This window comes from Homo sapiens, chromosome 19 (genome assembly GCF_000001405.40).
Source record: "Homo sapiens chromosome 19, GRCh38.p14 Primary Assembly".
Taxonomy (NCBI): Eukaryota; Metazoa; Chordata; class Mammalia; order Primates; family Hominidae; genus Homo; species Homo sapiens.
The window spans coordinates 1,568,519-1,592,898 of record NC_000019.10 but is presented as its reverse complement, the minus strand read 5'-3'; the positions used below and the strand labels follow the sequence as shown (position 1 = coordinate 1,592,898).

The 24,380-nt window shown below is 57.3% G+C and overlaps 1 protein-coding gene and 1 pseudogene across 3 annotated transcripts, besides 7 other annotated features; both read left to right on the top strand.

Annotated features, from left to right (window-relative positions):
* Window positions 34–83: a silencer, noted in NCBI's record as "silent region_9732". NCBI's record gives its function as "represses an Ori minimal core promoter by ATAC-STARR-seq in GM12878 lymphoblastoid cells {active_cell/tissue: GM12878}" and the evidence as "EXISTENCE:reporter gene assay evidence [ECO:0000049][PMID:35858748]".
* On the top strand, window positions 34–19,303 carry MBD3 (methyl-CpG binding domain protein 3). 3 transcript variants are annotated; one of them, NM_001281454.2, is made up of 7 exons: window positions 34–281; window positions 7,685–7,844; window positions 8,222–8,359; window positions 10,187–10,277; window positions 11,630–11,807; window positions 14,361–14,564; window positions 14,741–19,303. In NM_001281454.2, the coding sequence occupies exons 1-6, from the start codon at window positions 268–270 to the stop codon at window positions 14,557–14,559; spliced, it is 780 nt and encodes a 259-aa protein (NP_001268383.1). In that variant the 5' UTR covers window positions 34–267; the 3' UTR covers window positions 14,560–14,564; window positions 14,741–19,303. The 3 variants fall into 3 exon arrangements, with proteins under 3 accessions (NP_001268383.1, NP_001268382.1, XP_047294895.1); NM_001281453.2 differs by having other exon boundaries at window positions 34–377; XM_047438939.1 differs by having other exon boundaries at window positions 34–377; window positions 14,361–16,221.
* Window positions 244–543: a silencer, noted in NCBI's record as "silent region_9731". NCBI's record gives its function as "represses an Ori minimal core promoter by ATAC-STARR-seq in GM12878 lymphoblastoid cells {active_cell/tissue: GM12878}" and the evidence as "EXISTENCE:reporter gene assay evidence [ECO:0000049][PMID:35858748]".
* Window positions 684–783: a silencer, noted in NCBI's record as "silent region_9730". NCBI's record gives its function as "represses an Ori minimal core promoter by ATAC-STARR-seq in GM12878 lymphoblastoid cells {active_cell/tissue: GM12878}" and the evidence as "EXISTENCE:reporter gene assay evidence [ECO:0000049][PMID:35858748]".
* Window positions 1,021–2,010: an enhancer, noted in NCBI's record as "NANOG-H3K27ac-H3K4me1 hESC enhancer chr19:1590888-1591877 (GRCh37/hg19 assembly coordinates)". NCBI's record gives its function as "activates a minimal SCP1, AML or CMV promoter by ChIP-STARR-seq in naive H9 embryonic stem cells {active_cell/tissue: H9 hESC(naive)}" and the evidence as "EXISTENCE:reporter gene assay evidence [ECO:0000049][PMID:30033119]".
* Window positions 7,369–7,979: an enhancer, noted in NCBI's record as "H3K27ac hESC enhancer chr19:1584919-1585529 (GRCh37/hg19 assembly coordinates)". NCBI's record gives its function as "activates a minimal SCP1, AML or CMV promoter by ChIP-STARR-seq in primed H9 embryonic stem cells {active_cell/tissue: H9 hESC(primed)}" and the evidence as "EXISTENCE:reporter gene assay evidence [ECO:0000049][PMID:30033119]".
* Window positions 7,980–8,591: an enhancer, noted in NCBI's record as "H3K27ac hESC enhancer chr19:1584307-1584918 (GRCh37/hg19 assembly coordinates)". NCBI's record gives its function as "activates a minimal SCP1, AML or CMV promoter by ChIP-STARR-seq in naive H9 embryonic stem cells {active_cell/tissue: H9 hESC(naive)}" and the evidence as "EXISTENCE:reporter gene assay evidence [ECO:0000049][PMID:30033119]".
* Window positions 22,039–22,324, top strand: RN7SL477P (RNA, 7SL, cytoplasmic 477, pseudogene; annotated as a pseudogene).
* Window positions 24,295–24,344: a silencer, noted in NCBI's record as "silent region_9729". NCBI's record gives its function as "represses an Ori minimal core promoter by ATAC-STARR-seq in GM12878 lymphoblastoid cells {active_cell/tissue: GM12878}" and the evidence as "EXISTENCE:reporter gene assay evidence [ECO:0000049][PMID:35858748]".

Sequence of the window (24,380 nt, the reverse complement as noted above, 5' to 3'; positions counted from 1 at the left end):
CCGCGGCTGCGCAGCGCGGGGCCCCGCGCGGGCGGGTGGGCGGAGCGGGCCCCCCGAGCGGGGGCTGGCGAGCGCGGGGAGGGGGCCGAAAGGGCGGCAAAGCCGGCGCGCGCCCGGCTGGGGGCGGAGGGCGGGGGCCCGCGGGCCGGAACAGCCGCGGCAAGTGGCGGCGGCGGCAGCGGCAGCGGAGGCAGCTGAGGCGGCGGCGGCGAGTGGGGGTCCGGGCGGCGGCGGCGGGCCCGGCGGCGGGCCGAGGAGCCGGGCGCAATGGAGCGGAAGAGGTGGGAGTGCCCGGCGCTCCCGCAGGGCTGGGAGAGGGAAGAAGTGCCCAGAAGGTCGGGGCTGTCGGCCGGCCACAGGGATGTCTTTTACTATAGGTGAATGAGCGCGCCGGCCGCGCAGGGCCTCAACGGGCTCCTCCCAGCGGCCTCTGCGGCGGCCTCGGCGCCCCTGCCCCGGGCCGCGGCCTGGGCCCCGCGCGTGCGTCGTGCGTGCGTGCGTGCGTCTTGCGTGCGTGTGCGCCCGGCGCGCGGAGGCCCAGTGCGCGTGCGCCGCTTGTTGGGCCGCATGGCTTTCGGCCGGCCGTTCAGGGACTGGCTGCCGGACGGCGACTGCGGCCTTTGTTCGTGCGCGCTGGGCCAGGGGCGCCTGGCGGCGGCCAGATGCTACCGGGGGGCAGGGGTGGAGGGTGGGCTGTCCCTTTGGTTCCCGTGAGACGCAGGGGGTGCCTTCTTGGGGCGCTCCTGGGGTGGCGCGGAGCCCGAGGGGGTGGCCAGCCGGGATTTCGGGGAGCAGGGCTCATGGGCGGATCGGGGAGGGCGTGCGTGAAAATACGGGTTCTTGGGCTCGCCCCAGTCCTGGGAATAAGCGCCTCAGGGTGACTGGTCTCCCACGCAGCGTTGCTTTTTTTAAAGGTATTCCCCTTGACTCCTTCCGAGGCCTCTGGTCCTCTTGGGTCGTGGCCCCCTCAGGGTGGAGACCTGAGGCTTTCGACTTTCCGAGCCCACCTAACGGTAGTCTTTGCGTGGATGTTACTGGTGGTGGAAGGCTTTCAGAGACCCCCCCGTCCCCAAATTGGAACAAGGCGCTGCTCTGAAAGGTCGCAGGGAACCCCCTCCGTGGAACAAAGACTTAGTCGCCTGCTGCAGCCAAGTCCCAGACAGTCGGCCACCTGCTGTTTGTCCTCTTTTTTTTTTTTTTCCTGGCTCGGGAAAGATGCTTTTGATTCTGGGCCAGCTTTGATTGCGCCCTCCCCTTGGTTCAGTGTCCCGTGGCGCCTTCAGGTCCCCCAGGAGGGGAAAGCGGAGGACGCCTGCCATGTGCCGAGCACCTGGGTAAAGGGGGGTGTGCGGCTGGTCCCCCTTTTTCCCACAGCTCGGGGTCGTGGGCAGGAGACCGCCCAGGTGAGGGCGGGTGGTTTCCACGAGCCAAGGAGGGGCAGAACGACCGCTCCGTCCACTGTGCACTTCGGTCCTCTGTGGTTCTTGACTGTCCCGGTTTGGGGAGATAAAGTGAGAAAAGTGAGCGGGGAAAGGATGGCTGTGATCAGAAGCAATGTGTGGGGCCTCGTCCTGCAGGAGGAGCTCAGGGACTGGTTCCTGGAAAGTTGGAGGACAGCAAGAGAGGGGAAACTTGGTCCCCAAATGTGTACCCTTATGAGCTGGAACCCTGTACACGTCCTGAGATCTGCAGTGACACATGCTGAAATCTGGGAGGGCAGATGACGGGGCCTGAATGAGACTGGGGTCAGGGAGGGCTTCTCTGAGGACGTGACATTGAGTGACAGGGAGAGGCGTCCAGGCAGCAGGAACCCCCTAAGAGGTGGCTGCAGCTTGGGAGCTAGAACCAAGGCCAGCTTGAGCGGAGTATCCTGAGGCTGTCATCACCCCACCTCTCTCATTCCCACTCTGGGCCCTGGCCCTGAGCATGAGGGTCTAGCAGTGGAGAAAAGCAGGGAGAAGCTCCTCTACAGGCTAGAGATTTCAGGTTTCTCTGCAGAGGGTGAAGCCAGGCAGCCCAGAGCCGCCCTCTGCAGGTCTGGGGCCTCAACCCAGCCCTTCATCTGAGGCTGCAGGCTCCCAGACTGCGTTTTCTGTTGGGGGTGCCTGGGGAGAGTTCAGGCCATGTTGCCCACTTTTTTCTATACGTGTGGTTTTATCAAGGCTGTTCTTTTTTCATTGAATAAAATCTCAGGGACATCATTTTGTGTCAATAGATGGGCATAACCTTTATTTAAAATTGAGATATAATTCACATTCCACAAAAGCTACCTTTTTTGTTTTTTTTCTTTGAGACAGGGTCTCACCCAGGCTGGAGTGCAGTGGTACAATCACGGCTTACGCATTCTTGACCTCCCAGGCTCAGGCGACCCTCTCAGCTCAGCCTCCCAAGTAGTGGGAATTACAGGCACGTGCCACCATACCTGGCTTATTTTTATAGAGATGGGGTTTTGCTGTGTTGCCTAGACTAGACTGGTCTCGAATTCCTGGACTCAAGCAGTTAACCCGCCTCAGCCTCCCAAAGTGCTGGGATTACAGGCATGAGCCACTGCCTGGCCAAAGCCACTTTTTAGAAATGTACAATTCAGTGGGGTTTTTTTTTGGAGATGGAGTTTCACTCTTGGCCCAGGCCACAGTGCAGTGACGCAATCCCAGCCCACTGCAACCTCCACCTCCCGGGTTCAAGCGATTCTTCTGCCTCAGCCTCCCGAGTAGCTGGGATTACAGGCGTCTGCCACCATGCCCGGCTAATTTTTGTATTTTTAGTAGAGAAGGGGTTTCGCCATGTTGGCCAGACTGGTCTCGAACTCCTGACCCCAGCACCTCAGCCTCCCAAAGTGCTGGGATTACAGGCCTGAGCCACCACACCCGGCCCCCAGTGGTTTTTAGTACATTGACAAAGTTGTGCAACCATCACCGCTATCTAATTCCAGAACATTCTCATCACCCTGAAAAGCAGCTCTGTCCTCATTAGCAGTCACTCCCCACTTGTTACTCCCCCAGCCCCTGGTAACCACTAACCCCCTCTATCTTGCATTTGCATTCATTCATTCATTTATTCATTGTGAGACAGGGTCTTGTTCTGTCACCCAGGCTGGAGTGCAGTGGTGCAGTCACAGCTCACTGCATTCCTTGACCTCCTGGGCTCAAGCGATCCTGCCTCCTAAGCCTCCAGCATAGCTGGGACTACAGGCATGTGCCACCATGCCCAGCTAATTTTTTATGTTCATTATTATTTATTTATTTTGAGAAGTAGTCCCGCTTTGTCACCCAGGGTGGAATGCAGTGGTGCAATCTCGGCTGACTGCAGCCTCCACCTCCTGAGTTCAAGCGATTCTCCTGCCTCAGACTCCTGAGTAGCTGGGATTACAGGCCCCCACCACAACCCCCAGCTAATTTTTATATTTTTAATAGAGACGGGGTTTCACCATGTTGGCCAGGCTGGTCTTGAACTCCTGACCTCAGGTGATCTGCCCTCCTTGGCCTCCCAAAGTGCTGGGATTACAGATGAAAGCCACTGCGCCTGCCTTCTTTTTTTTTTTTTTTTTTTTTTTTGAGACCGAGTTTCGTTCTTGTTGCCCAGGCTAGAGTGCAATGTTGCAGTGCAATGCTGCAATCTGGGCTCACTGCGACCTCCACCTCCTGAGTTCAAGCAATTCTCCTGCCTCGGCCTCCCAGCTAGCTGGGATTACAGGCATGTGCCACCACGCCCGGCTACTTTTGTATTTTTAGTCGAGATGGGGTTTCACCATGTTGGTCAGGCTGGTCTCGAACTCCTGATCTCAGGTGATTGGCCCTCCTTTGCTTCCCAAAGTGCTGGGATTACAGGTGTGAGCCACTGCATTTATTCTTTTTGAGAAGGTGTTATCGAGATACAGTTTTATGTACCATACAATACAGTCATTTAAAGTGCACGAGTCAATGGTTTTTCAGCATATTCACATATTTACGGATATAGGCAGCTATCCTCAGATTCAATTTTAGAATTTCCATCACCCTAGAAAGAACCCCAGGCCCATTTACCACTGCCTTGTGCGCCCACCCCCAGTCTTAACAACCAGGCTGTGGTCTGTGTGTGTCTCTTGTTCGCCTTACACCTTTTTTTTTTTTTTTTTTTTTTGGAGACACAGTCTTGCTCTGTCGCCCAGGCTGGAGTGCAGTGTCATGATCTCGGCTCACTGCAACCTCTGCCTCCTGGGTTCAACCCAATTCTGCGTCAGCCTCCCGAGTAGCTGGGACTATAGGCACGTGCCACTGTGCCCGGCCAATTTTTTGTATTTTAGTAGAAACGGGTTTCACCATGTTGCCCAGGCTGGTCTCGAACTCCTGAGCTCAGGCAATCCACCCACCTCAGCCTCCCAAAGTGCTGTGATTACAGGCGTGAGCCACCGCGCCCGGCCTTGTTTCCCTTCATCTTAAAAGGCAGAACGGCCTCTCTTTGGGGTGACCGGAGGCAAAGAGCTGTTGGGAGTGTTTTGTGGGGTCTCTTCTTCCTTCCTTGTGGCTACATGAAGCCTGAGTCTCAGCCTCTGGTTTCTTGGTTTCTTTCCACTGCCCTGGGCAAACCAGCTTCGACTGAACGTCAGCCAGTCCAGAGAGTAATTAAAAGAGTTAAGTCTCAAAAGTAAATCTCCGGGAAGAGCCCTCAGTGGTTTCAGACCCCCAGGCACTTGTCCTCGTGCCCTCCCTGAGGCGTCCTGTCCTACTGGACATGCTGGAGCCTGCCCGTGTCCTTGTGGACCATGGAATTTGCCCGGGGTTGGGGGGCAGGGGTGGAGAGAAATAAAACTTCCTGTGATCTATGTATCGGCCCAGTACATAGATCCTGGATAGAGGCGATTGAGCTAAGCATGGGACCAAGCATTTCTGTGCAGTGCCTGCAGAATTGAGTTTCCTTCTGGCTATGGGAGATTCTTCTGAGCTGTCTCAGTTGTCTGACATCTGGCATCTGCCATGGGCCAGGACGTCTGGGGCAGGGGCAGAAGAGGACAGGAGGAGACTGCCCTAGAGGATTCTGGGAAAACGGGAAAACAGCAAAACAGAGCTACCCACCAATCTCAGGCTGATGCATTATTAATAAAAGTGACTGTTGACTGAGTTTGTAGACATAATATGTTTGAGGTACCTGGCCTAGTAAGCACCATACAAGTGCTATTATTTCTAAATGATTTTATCAAGATAAAAGACACCAGCCAGGCATAGTGGCTGCCGCCTATAATCCCTTTGGGAGGTCGAGGCAGGAGGATCTCTTGAGATCGTAAGTTGGAGACCAACCTGGGCAACATAGCGAGTCCCCATCTATGCAAAAAATTTAAAAATTAGCTGGGCATGGTGGTGCACACGTGTAGTCCTAGCTCCTCAGGAGGCCAAGGCAGGACAATCCCTTGAGTCCAGGAGGTCAAGGCTGCAGTGTGCTGTGATCACACCACTGCACTCCAGCCTGGGCGACACAAGGAGACCCTGGATCTAAAAGTAAAAATGAAAAAAAAAAGAAATGAAGCAGCAGGGCGTGATGACTCACCTTTAATCCCAAAGCTTTGGGAGGGAAGATGGGAGGACTGCTTGAGCTCAGGAGTTCCAGACCAGCCTGGGTAACATGGTGAGACCCTATCTCTATTAAAAAAATATAAAAATTGGCTGGGCGCGGTGGCTCACGCCTGTAATCCCAGCACTTTGGGAGGCCAAGGCAGCCAGATCATGAGGTCAGGAGGTCGCGACCATCCTGGCTAACACTGTGAAACCCCACCTCTACTAAAAATATAAAAAATTAGCCGGGCGTGGTGGTGGGCAGCTGTAGTCCCAGCTACTCGGGAGGCTGAGTCAGGAGAATGGTGTGAACCCGGAAGTCGGAGGTTGCAGTGAGCCAAGATCGCACCACTGCACTCTAGCCTGGGTGACAGAGCGAGACTCCGTCTTAAAAAAAAAAAAAATTAGGCCGGGCACGGTGACTCACACCTGTAATCCCAGCACTTTGGGAGGCTGAGGCGGACAGATCACCTGAGGTCAGGAGTTCGTGACCAGCCTGGCCAACACAGTGAAACCTGGTCTCTACTAAAAATACAAAAATCAGCCAGGTGTGGTGGCGGGCACCTGTACTCCCAGCTACTCAGGAGGCTCAGGCAGGAGAATCACTTGAACCTGGGAGGTGGAGGTTGCAGAGAGCCAAGATCGAGCCACTTCACTCCAGCCTGGGCGACAGAGTGAGACTCCATCTCAAAAAAAAAAAAATTAGGCGTGGTGGCTTGTGCCTGTCGTCCTAGCTACTTGGGAGACTAAGGTGGAAGGATCACCCTAGCCCAGGAGTTCAAGGTTGCAGTGAGCTGTGATTGAGCCATTGCATTCCAGCCTGGGCAAGAGTGAGACCCTATCTCCAAAAGGAAAGAGAGAAACGAAGTCCTGTCCCTATCAGCAGCCACTCCACATCCTGCACCCCAGCCTCTGGCACTACGCGTCCCCTTCCTGTCTCTGAATTATCCTGTTCTAGACATTTCTTAGAAATGGGATCACACACTGTGTGGCCTTTTGTGTCTGGCGTCTCTCACTGAATGTGGCGTCCTCAAGGTGCATCCACGCTGTGGCCTGTGTCAGAGCCTCGCTCCTTTTCATGGCTGAGTATGTCCCATCGTGTGGATGGGCGTTTGTCCGTTCATCCATTGAAGGCGTCTGGGCTGCTTCCACCTTCTGGCTCCTGGGGACATCCGTGTAGAAGTGATGGTGTGGATGCGTGCTCATTTTTCGGGCAGATACCTAAGAGTGGCGTGGCCGGGTCATCTGGAAACTCAGTGAAGAGCTGTCAGGCTTTTCCAACATGGCTGTTCCATCTTACATCCCAACCATGATGACGGTGTGTTGGGTTGGGTGCTTGTCATCCTGTAGTGTGACCTCATGTGACACACAGGGCAACCCATTGGTGGGTGTCCTTATGTCCTGGAGAGGATGAGTTGCCGGCGCTTGTCCATGGCAGGCTGAGAGCAGAGCCCCGTGTCTGAGAGCAGGTCTGTGTTTACCTGGCTGCCTTGTTGCGAGCTCTCCAGTCGGGTTATGCCCAAGCAGCTGTTAGGGCCTGGCCCCAGATCTTAGAACGAGACCCCTTCCCAGTCTGGCCCTGCTGCTGTAACCCCAAGGTGGAAGAAGATTGCTTTTAGGGCTGTCCCTCACATACCTGTTCTCCGTGGGGTCTTTTCTCAAGAATGTGACCTAAATTCCATGTCTGGAATGTTCTGGACATGTGAGCCATCCTCCCAGAGCCGGGGCCCAAAGCCCTGTAGGTAGTAGCGTTTGTACCCGAACTCAGCGTCTGCTGTGCCTGACGCTGCCAGGGCCTACGGTGGGGAGGATTCAGAGGGGACCGGGGTTGGGGGTCTGGAGCAAGGATCCGATGTGGAGGCTGGGGCTAGGGCCAGGGTGTGAGGATCGGGGCCAGTGCTCTGGGTCTGGCTGGCGCCCAGATCTAGGGGCCAGTTGTGGGGTGCTGGGGTCTGGGATGAAGGTCTGGGGTCACGCCAGGGTTGGGGTCTGGGGCTGGGGCCAGGGCCTGCCTGGGTTTGGGGTCAGGGCCGTGTTGGGGTCTGGGGCTGGGGTCGCGACCTGAAGCTGGGGCTGGGACTGGGTTTGGGTCTGCGGCCGAGGCCTGGGTTTGGGGTCTGGGGTCCGCCCGGGGCGCCGACCGTCCCGCCTCCCCGCAGCCCGAGCGGGAAGAAGTTCCGCAGCAAGCCGCAGCTGGCGCGCTACCTGGGCGGCTCCATGGACCTGAGCACCTTCGACTTCCGCACGGGCAAGATGCTGATGAGCAAGATGAACAAGAGCCGCCAGCGCGTGCGCTACGACTCCTCCAACCAGGTCAAGGTGAGTGGTGGCGTCACGCAGGTGACGTCGGCGCGGGGCGTTCTAGGCGGGGACGCGGCCATGACGTGAGCTGCAGGCGACACAGCCCGGCGTCCTGAGCGCAGGAGGTCACAGCGGGCGGAGGGCACAGAGCGGAAGGCGCAGGCCACAGGGTGCAGAGCGCAAGGCGCATGGCGAGGACGCGGCCCGCGGCGGGCGTTCCAGAGCCGGCCGGACCGACCCTGCGGGAGCGGCCTCCCCGGACCGTGGGGGTCCTGGCGGGCGCGGGGGACACGAGGGGCGCCGGCAAAGCAGGGGGTCACCCGGGCCCCGCACCCCCTGAGGCTCCGCGCCGCCGGGGCGCCCCCAGGCCGGACTGCATATCCTTCCTCCCGCAGGGCAAGCCCGACCTGAACACGGCGCTGCCCGTGCGCCAGACGGCGTCCATCTTCAAGCAGCCGGTGACCAAGATTACCAACCACCCCAGCAACAAGGTCAAGAGCGACCCGCAGAAGGCGGTGGACCAGCCGCGCCAGGTGAGCTCAACGCACAGCGACCCCAGCCTTCCCGGCCGGGTTGTTCACTTTGGTGGGTGGACGTTTGGAATGAGGTCGTACGTGGAGCGGACGTAGTGAGCGCAGGAGTTCCAGGCTAGCCTGGGCAACATGACGAGGCAAAAAACAAGTAAAAAATTAGCTGGACGTGGTGGCGCCCGCCTGTGGTCCCAGCTTCTGGGGAGGCTGAGGTGGGAGGATTGCTTGAGCCCAGGAGGCTGAGGCTGCAGTGAGCTATGATCACACCACTGCACTCCAGCCTGGGGGCAGAGCAAGACCCAGTCCTGCGGTCCCCTCTTGGAATGTGCAGGGTATTGGTGCCAGGATACGCCCCACCCTCAACCCCCAGATACCAAAATCTGGGGATGTTCAGGCCCCTCAGAAAATGGTCTAGTATGGCCTCACGCGGTGACTCACGCCTGTAATCCCAGCACTTTGGGAGGCCGAGGCAGGTGGATCACCTGAGAGGTCAGGAGTTTGAGACCAGGCTGACCCAACATGGTGAAACCCCGTCTCTACTAAAAATACAAAAATTAGCTGGGCGTGGTGGTGTGCGCCTGTAATCCCAGCTACCCGGGAGGCTGAGGCAGGAGAATCACTTGAACCCGGGAGGTGGAGGTTGCAGTGAGCCGAGATGACACCACTGCACTCCTGCCTGGGCGACAGAGCGAGACCCGGTCTCAAAAATAAAATAAAAATATTTTTAAAAAATGGAAATGGTCTAATGTTTGCACGTTACCTGCAGGTATTTTCTAGCTTGCTCATGAGGTGTGGATGCTTGTGACGTTCCTTGTGTGTGTTTTATTCATTTTTTTAAGTTTTTCACTTTCGAGACAGGGTTTCTGTATGTTGCCCAGGCTGGTCTCAGGCTCCTGGCCTCAAGTGATCCTCCCACCTTGGCCTCCAAAACTGTGGGGATTACAGGTGTGAGCCAACTCACCTGGCCAGTTGTTGTATTTATTTATTTTTTTTCCCCCCAAATATTTTCAGTCTGCCGCTGGTTGGGTGTGTGGTTATGGAACCCACAGATACAGGGGGTTGACTGCCCATATGTGACTGTGTAACCTACTTCTTAAAAACCTGAGAACCGTGTGTATTTTCTTTTTGTTTTTTCTTTTTTTTTTTTTTTTTTTTGTGACAGAGTCTCGCTCTGTCACCCAGGCTGGAGTGCAGTGGCAGGATCTTAACTCACTACAACCTCTGCCTCCTGGTTTCAACTGGGTTCAAGTGATCCTTCCACCTCAGCCTCACAAGTAGCTGGGATTTCAGGTACCCGTCACAATGCACGGCTAATTTTTTTTTTTTTTTTTCTTTTTTGAGATGGAGTTTTGCTCTTGTTGTCCAGGCTGTAGTGCAATGGTGCGGTCTCAGCTCACTGCAACCTCCACTTCCTGGGTTCAAGTGATTCTCCTGCCTCAGCCTCCCAAGTAGCTGGGATTACAGGCGCCCGTCACCACACCGGACTTTTTTTTGTATTTTTAGTAGATAAGGGGTTTCACCATGTTGACCAGGCTGGTCTCAAACTCCTGACCTCAGGTGATCCACCCACTTCGGCCTCCTAAAGTGCTGGGATTACAGGCGTGAGCCACCCCATGTGTATTTTTTATTCTTATTTACAAACGTCCACTGGATCCCTGGCTGTGGAAAGCCTGGGCAGGGTCTGGAGACCCAAGGCAGTGGGAGGGGAGATGCCCCATTGGGACCCACATGGGGCAAGGAGGCCAGGTGGGCCTCCCTGGAGCCCAGCAAGGACCTGGAGTGGGGAGAGGGCAGGGCCACTCTTGAGGTTCACATATGTGTCTGGGGCAGCTCTTCTGGGAGAAGAAGCTGAGCGGCCTGAACGCCTTCGACATTGCTGAGGAGCTGGTCAAGACCATGGACCTCCCCAAGGGCCTGCAGGGTGAGCGGGCACCCTGAGGGGAGGCGGAAGGGGATGTGCCGGGTGGGGTGGAGGTGCTGCAGGTGCCCTCATCTCCTGGCAGGGTGGATGGCTGTTCCTGCTTTGGGTGCTTAGGGCAAATCTGCCAGCGACTGGGGCAGGAGGAGGGGACCCAGTGGGGTTGGGGATGGGTAAGGGCGCTTGGGCTGGGCCCTTCATTCTTGACCTTGGAGACCCTGCGGGTGGGGCTTTGTGGCTTCCAGGTGTGGCGCAGGCCTGGGGCTGTTTTCACCTGCAGGACGTGCAGTTTTGCCATGGAGATCCTAAATAAACAAACAAGGACAGCTGACTTTGCTTCTGTACTCTCCCAGCACGTCCACACCACAGAACAAAGAATGCAGCTCTTGCATGGTTTTGGTGGTTGTTTTTTGAGACAGGGTCGGCTGGGTACAGTGGCTCACACCTATAATCCCAGCACTTGGCGGGGCTGGGGCAGGAGTTTCACTTGATCTCAGAAGTTTAAGACCAGCTTGGACAACATAGTGAGACCCCATCTCTACAGAAAATACAGAGCAAGGCCAGGTGCAGTGGCTCACGCCTGTAATCCCAACACTCTGGGAGGCCAAGGCGGGCGGATCATGAGGTCAGGAGATCGAGATCATCCTGGCTAACATGGTGAAACCCTGTCTCTACTAAAAATACAAAAAATTAGCCGGGTGTAGTGGCGGCCGCCTGTAGTCTCAGCTACTTGGGAGGCTGAGGCAGGAGAATAGCGTGAACCTGGCAGGCGGAGCTTACAGTGAGCCGAGATCGCACCACTGCACTCTCCTGGGCAACAGAGGGAGACTCCGTCTCAAAAAAAAAAAAAAAAGATACAGAGCAAGACCCCATCTCAAAAACAAAAGGCAGCCTCTCCGTGGCCCATGCTGAAGTACAGTGGCGCCGTTACTACTCACAGCAGCCTCTACCTCCCGGGCTCAAGTGGTTCTCTCAGCACAGCCTCCTGAGTAGCTGGGACCACAGGTATGCAGCGTGACACCTGGCTAATTTTTGAATTATTTTGTAGAGACAGGAGTCTCACTGTGTTGTCCAGGCTGGTCTCAAACTCCTAAGCTCAATCAGTCCTCCCACCTCGCCCTCCCAAGATGCTGGGATTACAGGCGGGAGTCGCCACGCCTGGCCTAACTTGCTTTTTTTTCTGTTATGAATGTAGTAACACAAGCGGGAGAGGGAATTTAGAAATGGAACCCAAGTTGGGGTTCCTTCCAAGAAGGTGGCAGCTCCCATTCTTGGGGCATTTCCGTGGCCTGTCTGGGCCACAGCTGCCCCGTGGTGACCTCTCCACTTGCGGCTGTTTGTCCACTGCCTGGCAGGGGTGGGACCTGGCTGCACGGATGAGACGCTGCTGTCGGCCATCGCCAGCGCCCTGCACACTAGCACCATGCCCATCACGGGACAGCTCTCGGCCGCCGTGGAGAAGAACCCCGGCGTATGGCTCAACACCACGCAGCCCCTGTGCAAAGCCTTCATGGTGACCGACGAGGACATCAGGTAGCCCCTTGGCCTGGTCCCCTGCTGCTCCACCCTGTCTCTTGTGGCCGTGGGGACCCTGAGTGTCCCCGTGTGCCTGCGTGCTTCCCGTCTCCCCACGATGCTGCTGGGGTTTTGAAACAGAAACAGCCAGGGCAAGGGGACCCATCGTCGGAGCAGTATGAACCGTTTCACCCGCGTCCTGGGTTCAGGGCGAGCCAGGCACCCCTTGGAGGAATGTTCTTGAAAAGAGTGTGGTCCTTTGAGTCCGTGAGGACTGGCTATGCTGGGTGCTGGGCTCCATGTTGGGCCCTGGAGACGGAGGGACAGGGCAGGCCAGGAGTCTCTGCCTTCAGGGAGATGGCTCTGGGTGCCTGCTGAGGGGCAGTTCTGATGTGCAGAGCCTCGGAACGAACAGCAGGGAACACGGCCGCTCAGAAACAGGCAACAGTCAGGTGAGGCTGAGCAGCCCAGGGGTGAGCGGCCCTCCTGCGGGGCCTCAGGGCCGAACCCACTTCCAGTGTGCAGAGTGGACGCAAGGCCGCCTGGTGACGGAGGCGCCTGCAGGAAACTCTGGAAGTGCTGGAGCGAAGACGGGACCTTTCACGTTCAGTGCAGCACACGGCTTAGGTCAGAGGAAGGAAAGGAAACTTGACGGTTCCAGAAAGAAGGAGCCAAGACCCGGAACGGCCAGGGAGGCGCTGGGCATGCGGGTTTCCTGTGGCAGCAGCCGGGGTTAAAGGCCCCTGGGCACAAGAAGAGACCCTGTGCCCCCACACAGGGTGAACAGATGGACCTGAGACGCCACCCCCACAAGCACACAAACTGTGGGCGCCAAGGGTTCCATCCGGAGCGGCTGGCGGCATCCTCCTCCGGCCGTGGTACCTCTGGGCCCCCTCTTTTGGGTTTGAGGTCCATTTACACTCTCTGCGCGCTCAGAGAACTTCCCGAAATGAAGATGGTGAAATAGGAAGAATTGTCAACAAAAGAAAAGAACAAGACTGTGAAAAATAGCAGACAGATCATTAAAAGCCCTGCAGAACTTGCAGAAATAAGGCCGGGCACAGTGGCTGACGCCTGTAATCCCAGCACTTTGGGAGGCCGAGGCGGGAGGATCACCTGAGGTCAGGAGTTGAAGACCAGCCTGGCCAACATGGTGAAACCCCGTCTCCACTAAAAATAAAATAATTAGCTGGGTGTTTTGGCACATGCCTGTAGTCCCAGGTACTCGGGAGGCTGAGGCAGGAGAATCACTGGAGCCTGGGAGGCGGAGTTGAGATCCTGCCACTGCAATTCAACCTGGGTGACAGAGTTAAAAAAATAAAATAAGAACTTATAGAAATAGAAAAGGGCATTGAAATGAGGAACTCGGTGGTGGGTTCCGCAGGAGGTAGGGTCCTGTCTGGAAAGATGACGAGCAGGTGGTGGCTGCAGTCGAGTAGGTGAGCCAGGGTGTTCCGGGTGGTGGGGACAGAGTGAGAGGGAGCAGCTCAGGTCTGCAGGAGCCGCTGGAGAGAGACCCCGGAGGCAGGGGGCGGCTGAGCCTCGGCCACAACTGGGGAGAAACAAAGTCAGCTTTGCCTGGGACTGAAAGCAGAACAGAGACGGGCTCTTTGGGCAGCCGGAGAGGGAGGTGGGCAGAAGCACGTGCTGCGGCCCCGGAGGCGGCAGGCAGAGGAGCGGCCACCCTGGAGTGCCTGGCATCAGCTTGTAGGCCCCGAGGAGGAGGCCCCCCATCCCTGGTGGTGGGTTGAGACGAGGGTGTGGATTCTTTTTCTCAGGCCGCCCGAGCCATGGTAAAGGAGTACACGCTGGTGCATAGTGGGCAGCGGAAAGGTGACCCCCGGCCTGCGAGGGTGGGGGCTGCTGCGGGCTGATGGTAGCTGATTTTGGTGAGGCTTGCTTTTTTTTTTTTTTTTTTTTTTTTTTTTGGCAGAATCTGGCTCTGTTGCCCATGCTGGAGTGCAATGGCGCCATCCCAGCCCACTGCAACCTCCGCCTCCCGGGTTCAAGTGATTCTCCTGCCTCAGCCTCCCAAGTAGCTGGGACTACAGGCGGCCGCCACCACGCCCAGCTAATTTTTATATTTTTAGTAGAGATGGGGTTTCGTCATGTTGGTCAGGCTGGTCTCGAACGCCTGACCTCAAGTGATCTGCCCACCTCGGCCTCCCAAAGTGCTGGGATTACAGGCATGAGCCTCTACCTGGCCTGGTGAGGGTTTTCCTGCCCCACTCAGTGCCTGTCAAGGGACAGGAGCAAGGGTTTACACAGCTGAGCCCCGGGGAGGCTCAGGGCCAAGTCTGGGGACTGAAGGGTCAGGCCCCTCCCTTGGTCCCAGTAGAGGTGGCAGGGGGGCCATCTGGGAGGGTGGCGGACGCTGGCGATGGCCAGCGGCAGCCGGTCATTCTCTGCGTGGATTGTGAAGGGAGGGGTGGCACGGGCCAGGGCTGGTCCTGGGGGGGTGCCTGTGGATCCCTCGGGCCTCCCCTCCCAGCTGAGGTCCCCACGTTCATCCTGTGTCCATGTCCTGCTGGCCGCTCACCTTGGTGTAACGCAAGGTCCATGTGTCCCCAGGAAGCAGGAAGAGCTGGTGCAGCAGGTGCGGAAGCGGCTGGAGGAGGCGCTGATGGCCGACATGCTGGCGCACGTGGAGGAGCTGGCCCGTGACGGGGAGGCGCCGCTGGACAAGGCCTGCGCTGAGGACGACGACGAGGAAGACGAGGAGGAGGAGGAGGAGGAGCCCGACCCGGACCCGGAGATGGAGCACGTCTAGGGCAGGTGCTGCGGGGCCACGGGGGCTCCCTGGAGTCGGGTCCTGGCAGTGGGGACTGCCTGGTGAACACAGATGTGCTTGGGATGACGGGTGCCTCCCAAGAGCTTCCCATCTCCCTAGAAGAGCCCAAGCGTCCCCGTCCCGTGGAGTCGCTAAAGCCAGCCCTCCCTGTCCTTTCCAGAGGCCCTGCCGAGAGCCCGTGCTGCCTGCTGGAGCCGCCTGCAGACGCGGTCCTCGGCCCCACGTGAACCAGGCTCGGCGGCGAAGCCCAGCCTTGGAGACACCCAGGAGGAAGGCCGTGCTCCTGGCTCCCTCCTCGGCCCGTCCCCACTTCCCGGGGCCTCGGGGCACACAGCTGGGGCTGCCCCCACCCGAAAGACCCTCCACGCTCGTCCTCTACAGAGTCCGGCTTCGGGAAGTGCCGGGTGCTCCTGGGCCCTGCCTGGCTCCCTACGACCTTTGGGCTCGAGGCCAGCTCCTCCCCATGCCCGCTGTCCCAGCTCCTTGAGACTGGAGAGCAGCCAGCAGGTGCCCGGCAGCTCGGCGCCACGGCTTGCTGACAGCTGGGAGGGTTTCTCGGTCTGGAGGCGTAGTTTTGAAACTCACATCACCCACTGTGCAGCGTGAGGACGGGACTCTGGTCTGCTGTGGGGGGCATGCAGGACGGCGCCACTCTCTGCCCTGCCATGCGGCTGGTGGTGCCACAGAGCCTCACCGTGCCTGAGTGGCATGCCCAGGAGGCCGCTCTCCTTCAGTAAATGTAACACAGTCGAGGCACGTCATCGGGCAGCCTTCCCTGTGTGCCAACGCCAGCCTTCGCTTCTGAAAACCAAACTCCAGCCGCTGCCAGTCGGGACTTGGTCGCCCGGCGCTGCCAGAATGCTCCACTGCCAGCCGGCCCCCCTGCCTCGGTTTCCCTTCTGTTTAGTGGCGACACAGGCACCCAGCTTTGGGGTGGTGCTGACGCTCCCAGGGGTGCCAGGAGCCACTGGGACAGGGTGAGGCTCCCAGACGCTCCTCGAGGTGCCCAGCTCTCCAGGGAGCTTCTGGCCCAAGGCCGTCTGAGGGATCTGCTCCTTAACCCCCCAGTGCCTTGGCGAGGGCAGGTTCCAAGCCACAGACGCCTGCCCCGAGTGGACTCTGCGGCCAGTCCCTGGTGCCCTCCTGGCCCTGCTGCCCAGTGAGGGCTCCTACGGGTGGGTTCATTGGCCTGGGCCCAGCGAGCCCCCACCTGCATTGACCTTAGGCCCATAGAGAGGGCCTGTCCCGGTGCTGCCCCAGCCAGGATCTGGTCGCTGCCCCAGGGGGACTGATGGGCAGAGTCGCCCCTGTGGCTGGACTGTGACCATCCCTGATGGGGCCTGACCGCGGGAGCTGAGGAAGCGCCGCTCCACCGTCTGCCCTCCAAGGACCCGCATGGAGGCAGTGGGCTGGCAGCTTCCTGCTGCTCCCTGTCAGAGTCAAAGCACAAATCCTCAGGACGGGCTCAAGGGCCAGGGCAGCCGAGGGAAGCTCCAGGTGGGGACCACGTCTTCCTGAGGTTGGTGCCCACTGGCTGGGACCCTTTGCAGTGGGGTGGCCTCCCCTCTGTCTGCCTGGTGGAGGGAGCCGTGGGCGTGGGGACGTGACTGAATAAAGCCACCATGGGTGGATGTGCTTGGAGCCTGGAGTTCGGTGCGTCCGCTAGACTTTGGTGCCCACGTTTGAGCTTCTGTCTTTGGTTGGGTGATGAAAGGCTGAAAGCGGTGTGGGGACAGGGCCAGCAGGTCCCCCAACCTCGCGGACATTCACAACCCAAGAGTCAGGCTTAGGGGTATTCAGAGAAGACCAGGCCGGCCTGGGCATCTGTGGGCAAGGGCCGTGCCCCCTGAGGTGCCGCTGGCTCAGCCTAGGGATCGTGGGTCTTGGCCCTGCTGCCCCGGTGAGGAAGATGGGCTGGGGCTCAGACCCAGCACCGCTCCTTCCAAAGGAAGGGAAGCAGGAGGGGCTGCCTGGCAGGGAGGGCCCCCCAGGTCCTCAGGTCCTGCACAGCCGCTGCAGGGAGGGGAGCTGTGCCCCGGGACCCTGGACTTCAGCTCACTAGCCATGGCCACTGGAAGCTGCTTTCTGGACCTGAAGGCTGGGAGGCCACCCTCCCCTCATCTGCCCGGCACTCAGAGACACTCTGTTTCCCTCTTCCCATCTCCCACTGTGTCCCTGTCTCCCTTGGTCTCTCTCTGTCTCTGTCTATCCCTGTCTCTATCTCTCCCTCTTGTCTCTCTCTTGCGCCGTCTCCCTCTCTGTCCCTCTTTGTTTCTTGCTCTCTCTCCTGTCTCTCTCCCTCGGTCTCTGTCTCTGTCTCTTGCTGTCTCTCCCTCTCTGTCGCAGCCCAGCTTCCTGTCACTGACAGACCCCGATCAGTCCCTCTGATCCCGGGGTTCTGGCCATGTCCTGGCCTTGGTCTGAGATGTGATGATCCCTACCCCTGCCACAGGGCCCTCCCCACTGGAAGCCCATCCAGGCCCTGGGCTGTCGCTGTTGACGAAGCTTGAGGGTCCTTTCCTCTCTCCCTGAAACCTTGGGGACCCCCACAGGCCAAGGCAATACTGGCCTTTGCTAGAGGTCGTGCCCGGTGAGAAGTGAGTTGTAGGCGTGGGCACCTGAGGGGCCAGCCCAGTGCTCAGGCCCTCGTCAAATTCCCTGCCCTGGAAAAGTCTCAGACCCTCAGGCTGAACCCCCTGGGCGCACCGAGGCTCCACACTCCAGCCCCAGAACCCAGACCTGGCATGGGGCGGGGAAGCCTGAGCTCCCAATGCTGGGATCTTTCGTGGGGGCCTCATGACCAGCCTGCCCTGTGCGGTGCCTGGCCCCATCCTCAAAGGCCACTTGGCTGCCCCCAGCCCCGCCCATGTCTCAGCCCCAAGACCTTCTGGGACTTTTTTTTTTTTTAGACAAGAGTTTCGCTCTTCTTTCGCTCTTGTTGCACAGGCTGGAGTGCAGTGGCGTGATCTGGGCTCACTGCAACCTCCACCTTCTGGGTTCAAGCCTCAGCCTCCCGAGTAGCCACCACGCCCAGCTAATTTTTGTATTTTTAATAGAGACAGGGTTTCACCATGTTGGCCAGTCTGGTCTGGAACTCCTAACCTCAGGTGATCCGCCCGCCCCAGCTTCCCAAATTGCCGGGATTACAGGTGTGAACCACCATGGCAGCCCTTCTGGCACTTGCCAGCAGCAGCAAGAGCCTCACGTGTCCCCCGCCTCCCCTCAGACCAAGCTCCCCACCGCTGCCGCCACAGAGGGTACCAGGGAGGAGAGGCTCAGGACCCCCGTGGCGAGGATGCACCTCCCAGCCCTCGGCCCAGCCACACGGACCACAGGGCTCCCGAGTCTCAGCAACACCAGCTAAGGGGCATCATGCCTCTCCTGCCACACCCAGGGCCCGTGCCTTGCTGTCCCTGCAGCCCCCAGACCCAGGCAGACAGGGACAGCCCTTCTGACCACCGCACACACTCGCCACCGCAAAGATCCCCGGGGATGCCCCTCGCCTGTGTGTGTCCCTCATGGCTGTCACAGCAAATCTCCAGGAGCCCGGAGGTGCCCATGGAAAACACCCCCAGCTTCCGGAACGTTCTTTCGGACAGGGCCATACCGGAGCAAGACTCAGCTTTCTGGTAGCGGGTGGCTGGGCACTGCCTGTGAGATTCTGTCACACTCGCTCCAGATTCAAGGGGTCCAAAAAGTGTAAACAAGTCAAGTGCCCATCCAGGGATGAACGAACACAGCCCGGCCCGGCCACACCATGGAGCAGGACTCGGCCATGAACAGGAACCAGGCTCTGACACCGGCCACGGCGCAGATGCCCCTGGAGGAGTCCACCCTCAGCAAGAGACACACAGACACCGACACGGCGTGCAATCCCATTTGTGTGAATGTCCAGGACAGGCCGATTCAGAGACAGGAAGGGGACACGTGGGTGCCAGTGACTGGGGATTATGGGGACTGGGGGAAATGGCTAAAGGGCACCCACAAAAGTTAATGATAATGTTCCACAGTTTTTTTTTTGAGATGGAGTCTCACTCTTGTCACCCAGGCTGGAGTGCAATGGTGTGATCTCTGCTCACTGCAAGCTCTGCCTCCTGGGTTCACGCCATTCTCCCTCCTCAGCCTCCCAAGTAGCTGAGATTACAGGCATATGCCACCACCCCCAGTAGAGACGGGGTTTCACCATGTTAGCCAGGCTGGTCACGAACTCCTGACCTCAAGTGATCCCCCACCTCGGCCTCCCAAAGTGCTGGGATTACAGGCATGAGCCACCGTGCCTCACCAGAATTGTGTACTTTTTTTTCTTCTTCTTCTTCGGCATGGAGTTTCGCTCTTGTTGCCCAGGCTGGAGTGCAATGGTGCAAACTTGGCTCACCGCAACCTCCTCCTCCCGGGTTCAATAGATTCTCCAGCCTCAGCCTGCTGAGTAGCTGAGATTACGGGCGCCCGCCACCACACCCAGCTAATCTTTGTACTTTTAGTAGAGACAGGGTTTCACCATGTTGGCCACGGGCAAAAGAATTTTGTTGAGGGCAAATAATATGAGACCACAAAACTGCCTTCCCTGCTCAGTTTTAATTTTCACAGTTTTAATTTTTAGCCTTCTCTGGTTACCAAAATAACCACGCTCACGGCCGTTCATTTGAAGATATTTCCAGTTAACGTGTGTGAAGTGGGTTTTTTGAGATGTAATTTACAAGCAATAAAATGCTCCTGTCTCTGCTGTCCTGCCTGCCTTCCTTCTCCATCACAGGATTCTCCCTGTGCATTTTCCTTTTCCTTTCTGAGTTTTGTTTTGTTTTGTTTTGTTTTTTGAGATGGGGTTTCCCTCTTGTCGCCAGGCTGGAATGCAATGGTGCGATCTTGGCTCACTGCAATCTCTGCCTCCCCAGTTCAGGCAATTCTGTCTCAGCCTCCCAAGTAGCTGGGATTACAGGCATGTGCCACCACGCCCGGCTAATTTTTTGTATTTTTAGTAGAGACGGGGTTTTGCCATGTTGGCCAGGCTAGTCTCGAACTCCTGACCTCAGGTGATCCACTGATCTGCCCCCACCTTGGCCCCTCAAAGTGCTGGGATTACAAGCGTGAGCCACTGCACCTGGCCTTTTTTTTTTTTTTCTTTGTTTTGAAGCAGGATTTCACTCTGTCACCTAGGCTGGAGTGCAGTGGCGTAATCTCAGCTCACTGCAACCTCTGCCTCCCGGGCTCAAGCAATCCTCCCACTTTAGACTCCCAAGTAGCTGGGACCATAGGTGTGTGCCATCAGACCCGGCTAATTTTTAAATTTTTTGTACAGGCTGGGCAAGGTGGGACACGCCTGTAATCTTAGCACTTTGCAGGGCCTAGGCAGACAGATCACTTGAGGTCAGGAGTTTGAGACCAGTGTGGCCAACACGTACTAGAAAGCACGAAAATTAGCTGGGCATGGTGGTAGGTGCCTGTAGTCCCAGCTAGTCGTGAGGCTGAGGCAGGAGAATCCCTTGAGCCAGGGAGGAAGAGGTTGCAGTGAGCTGAGATCACGCCGCTGCACTCCAGCCTGGGCGACAGAGTGAAGGGATTCTGTCTTCAAAAAAATAATAATAATAAATAGGCCAGACACGGTGGCTAACGCCTGTAATCCCAACACTTTGGGAGGCCTAGGCAGGAGGATCACCTGGGGTCGGGAGTTTGAGACTAGCCTGACCAACACGGAGAAACCCCTTCTCTACTAAAAATACAACATTAGCCAGGCGTGGTGGGCACCTGTAATCCCAGCTACTCAGGAGGCTGAGGCAGGAGCATCTCTTGAACCTGAGAGGCGGAGTTTACAGTGAGCCAAGATGGCGCCATTGCACTCCATCCTGAGTGACAGAGCAAGACTCCGTTCTCAAAAACACAAAACAAACAAAAAAAAACTGTATCCTAAGCAAGACAATGGATCCCCCAGGCCCACCCCTGGGCTTCATCAGCGATGATCACGGCTCCTCTTGTCTCCCATAACCCCCACCCTGCCCGGTCAAAATGCCTCCCTTCCTATGTGATTTTCTTCCAACATTCTCCCATGAAAAAATGTCAGACGCGGCCGGGCGTGGTGGCTCATGGCTGTAATCCCAGCACTTTGGGAGGCCAAGGCGGGCGGATCACCTGAGGTCACGAGTTCAAGACCAGCCTGACCGTCATGGTGAAACCCCGTCTCTACTAAAAATACAAAAATTAGCTGGACTTGTTGGCGGATGCCTGTAGTTCCAGCTACTCAGGAGGCTGAGGCAGGAGAATCGCTTTAACCCAGGAGGCGGAGCTTGCAGTGAGCTGGGATTGTGCCACTGCACTGCAGCCTGGGCAACAGAGCTAGACTCCGTCTCAAAAAAAAAAGAAAAGAAAAGAAAAGAAAAAGTAAAAAACATCAGATGCAGAGTGGGCCTGAGAGAATTTCACATTTCACGGTGACCACAATAGTGCCACCACCTACACCAGCGCTTCCCACCTGAGGTGACTCTGGGCCCAGGGGCCACGTTTGTGGGCATCTGGGCTGTCACAACCAAGGAGGTATATTATGGGTTGAATCATGTCCGCACAAAGATGTCTGTGTCCTCAACCCCACAACTTCTGAATGGGACCTTGTTTGGAAAGAGGGTCTCTGCAGACAAGTTAAGCCAAAGTTGTACGGGAGGGGGTGGACTCTCATCCCGTGACTCCTGTTCCCATGAGAAGAGGGAAACCAGGACACATACAGGGAGACATGGGTGTGTGAAGACAGAGGCCGAGGTCAGAGCGATGCGGCCACAATGAGCGATGAGGCCACAATGAGCGATGAGGCCACAATGAGCGATGAGGCCCAGAGCCCCCAGAAGATGGAAGAGGCAGAAAGGACGCTCCCCAGAGCCTTTGAAGGGGGCGCGGCCCTGCGCACACCTTGAGTTTTGACTCTGAGGCTCCAAAACTGGGAAAGAATTAAATATTCATTGCTTCATTCATTCATAAATTCATTTGTTTATTAGACACAGGGTTTTTTCTTTGTTTGTTTGTTTGTTTTTGAGACAGAGTCTTGCTCTGTTGCCCAGGCTGGAGTGCAGTGGTGTGATCTCAACTTGCTGCAACCTCCACCTCCCGGGTTCAAGCGATTCTCCTGCCTCAGCCTCCCAAGCAGCTGGCACTACAGGCTCACGCCACCACACCCGGCTCATTTCATATTTTTAGTAGAGACAGGGTTTCACCGTGTTGGCCAGGTTGATATAGAACTCCTAACCTAAGGTGATCTACCTGCCTTGGACTTCCAAAGTGCTGGGAAGACAGGCGTGAGCCACCGCGCCCGGCGCCCGGCTGACAATGCCATTAATAATTGCAAGTGGCTGGGCATAGTGTTACCCACCTGTAGTCCCAGCAGTTTGGGAGGCTGAGGCAGGAGGATTGCTTGAGGTTAGGAGTTCAAGACTAGCCCGGGCAACAAAAAGGACCCTGTCTCTACAAATACAAAAAGTAGCCCGGTGTGGTGGTGCACACCTGTGGTCCCAGCTACTCAGGAGGCTGAGGCGGGAGGATTGCTTGAGCTCGGGAGTTCTGAGCTGTAGTGAGCTATGCTGATCCAGCGTCTACATTAATATGATGACCTCCCTGGACTGGGAGGACCACCAGGTTGCCTAAGGAGGGCTGAACCTACCCAAGTCAGAGACGGAGCTGGTCAAAGCTCTCATGCTGATCTGTCCTGGGGTCACACCTGTGAATAGCCACTGCACCCCAGCCTGGGCAACAGAGCAAGACTCTGTCCGAAAAAGAAAGAAAAGGAAAGGAGAGGAGAGGGGAGGGGAGCAGAGAAGGAAGGGAGAATCCTGGTTGATACGGTGAAACCCTGTCTCTACAAAAAATACAAAAAATTAGCTGGGTGTGGCGTCAGGCACCTGTAGTCCCAGCCACTCGGGAGGCTGAGACAGGAGAATGGCGTGAACCCAGAGGCGGAGCTTGCAGTGAGCCAAGACTGCACCACTGCACTCCAACCTGGGTGACAGAGCGAGACTCCGTCTAAAAAAAAAAAAAGAAAGAAAGAAGGAAGGAAGGAAGGAAGGGAGAGAAAAGAAGAAATGAAGAACGAAATAAAGGATGAAAGAAAAGGAAGGAAGCAAGGAAGGAAGGAGAAGAAAGAAAAGAAAGAAGGAAAGAAAGACAGAAAAAAGAAAAGGAAGAGAAAGAAAAAAAGGAAAGAAAGAAAAGGAAAAGAAAAAAGAGAAAGAAAGGAAAGAGAAAGAAAGAAAAAGAAAAGAAAGAAAGGAAGAAAGAAAGAAAAAAAGGAAAGAAAGAGAAAAAAAGAAAGAGAGAAAGAAAGAGAGATAGAAAAACAATTCCAAGCATGGGCGTGCACGAAAGAGAAGTCCAGGACCCCAGGAGGGGAAGTGGGGCTGGATGCAGCCTGGGGTCAGGAGAGAGATTTTGGGTGGGGAAGGGCTCCAGGCAGGGGGATCCTGACCCTGCCTGCCTGGAAGAAGTGGGCAGAGAAGCCACCAAAAGTGAAGGGCCCAGCAGTGGGTGGCTGTGGCTGAGGGACTAGAAGAGTGGCTGAGGGGGACCCAGGGTGTGTGAGGCGGGGGGAGGGGACAGAGGAGAAGCCTTGCTAGGCAAAGGGGCAGGCTGCCCCACTCCTGCCCAGAGAGCCCTGCCTTCGGTCCAAGTTTGCACAGCCAGCCAGGGACAGGTCTGGTAGAAGAGGGGGGCAGGTAGACCCAGCCAGACAGGTTTATCACAAAAAACCCCACAGGTGCAAGGAAGGCCCCGAAGGACAGCTGGAGGAAGAGCCGCTGGGAAAGCGGCTATTTTTTTTTTTTTTTTTTTTTTTTGAGAGGAGTCTTGCTCTGTCAACCAGGCTGGAGTGCAGTGGTGCAATCTCGACTCACTGCAACCACCACCTCCAGGGTTCAAGCAATTATCCTGCCTCAGCTTCCTGAGTAGCTGGGATTACAGGTGCGCGCCACCACGCCTGGCTAATTTTTGTATTTTTAGTAGAGTCGGGGGTTTCACCATGTTGGCCAGGCTGGTCTCTAACTCCTGACCTCGTGATCCACCCGCCTCGGCCTCCCAAACTGCTGGGATGACAGGCATGAGCCACCGCGCCCGGCAAGGGTGGCTTTAGAGGTGGACAACGCCCGTTGCGGGGAAAGGCACCCCAGAAGAGGGTGGGGCTCCACATGGAGGGTTCTGGCTGGTGTGAGCCTGCCCTCGCCATGGAAGCACCACTGTGGTAGAGAGGTCTCTGGCTGGGGGCACAGAGACCGGGTCTGTGGCCTTGGGTGGGGCGGAGGAGGTGGCGTGGAGGAGGTGGCCTGATCCCAAAGCCGGGAGCCAGCCAGAGGGGAGCTAGGAGAGACTAGGGGAGAGGGACCTCAGGCCCTGGGGTGTGCATGATTGTGGAGCTGTCCCTGGCACAGAGGCTGGGGGTGGGGCAGGGGCCTGACCCTAAAGCCCACCTGATAGCAAGGGGTACTTGGGGACTGGGACCCCAGGCCCTGGGGGGTGCACCGTGGGGCGGGGGTTGGACCCTGGCACAGAGGCGGTGGGCGGGCAGGAGCCTGACTTCGAAGTCCAGTGGGATCGCGAGGGGGACTTGGAGAGGACCCCACGCCTTTATGCAGGGAGGTGGGGGTCCCTGGCACAAGGAAGCGGGCGTGGAGCAAGAGACCTCGCTTGGGGGCGACCCGGATCTCTAGGGGAAATTGGGGAGCGGGACCTCGGGCCCTGGGGCGCGCGAGGCAGGGACTCTCAGGCTTGGGGAGGGAGCGCTGTCCAGGCAGGGGCTGAGCCGCACACACCTGCAGCAGCGCCCGCACGTGCGGATG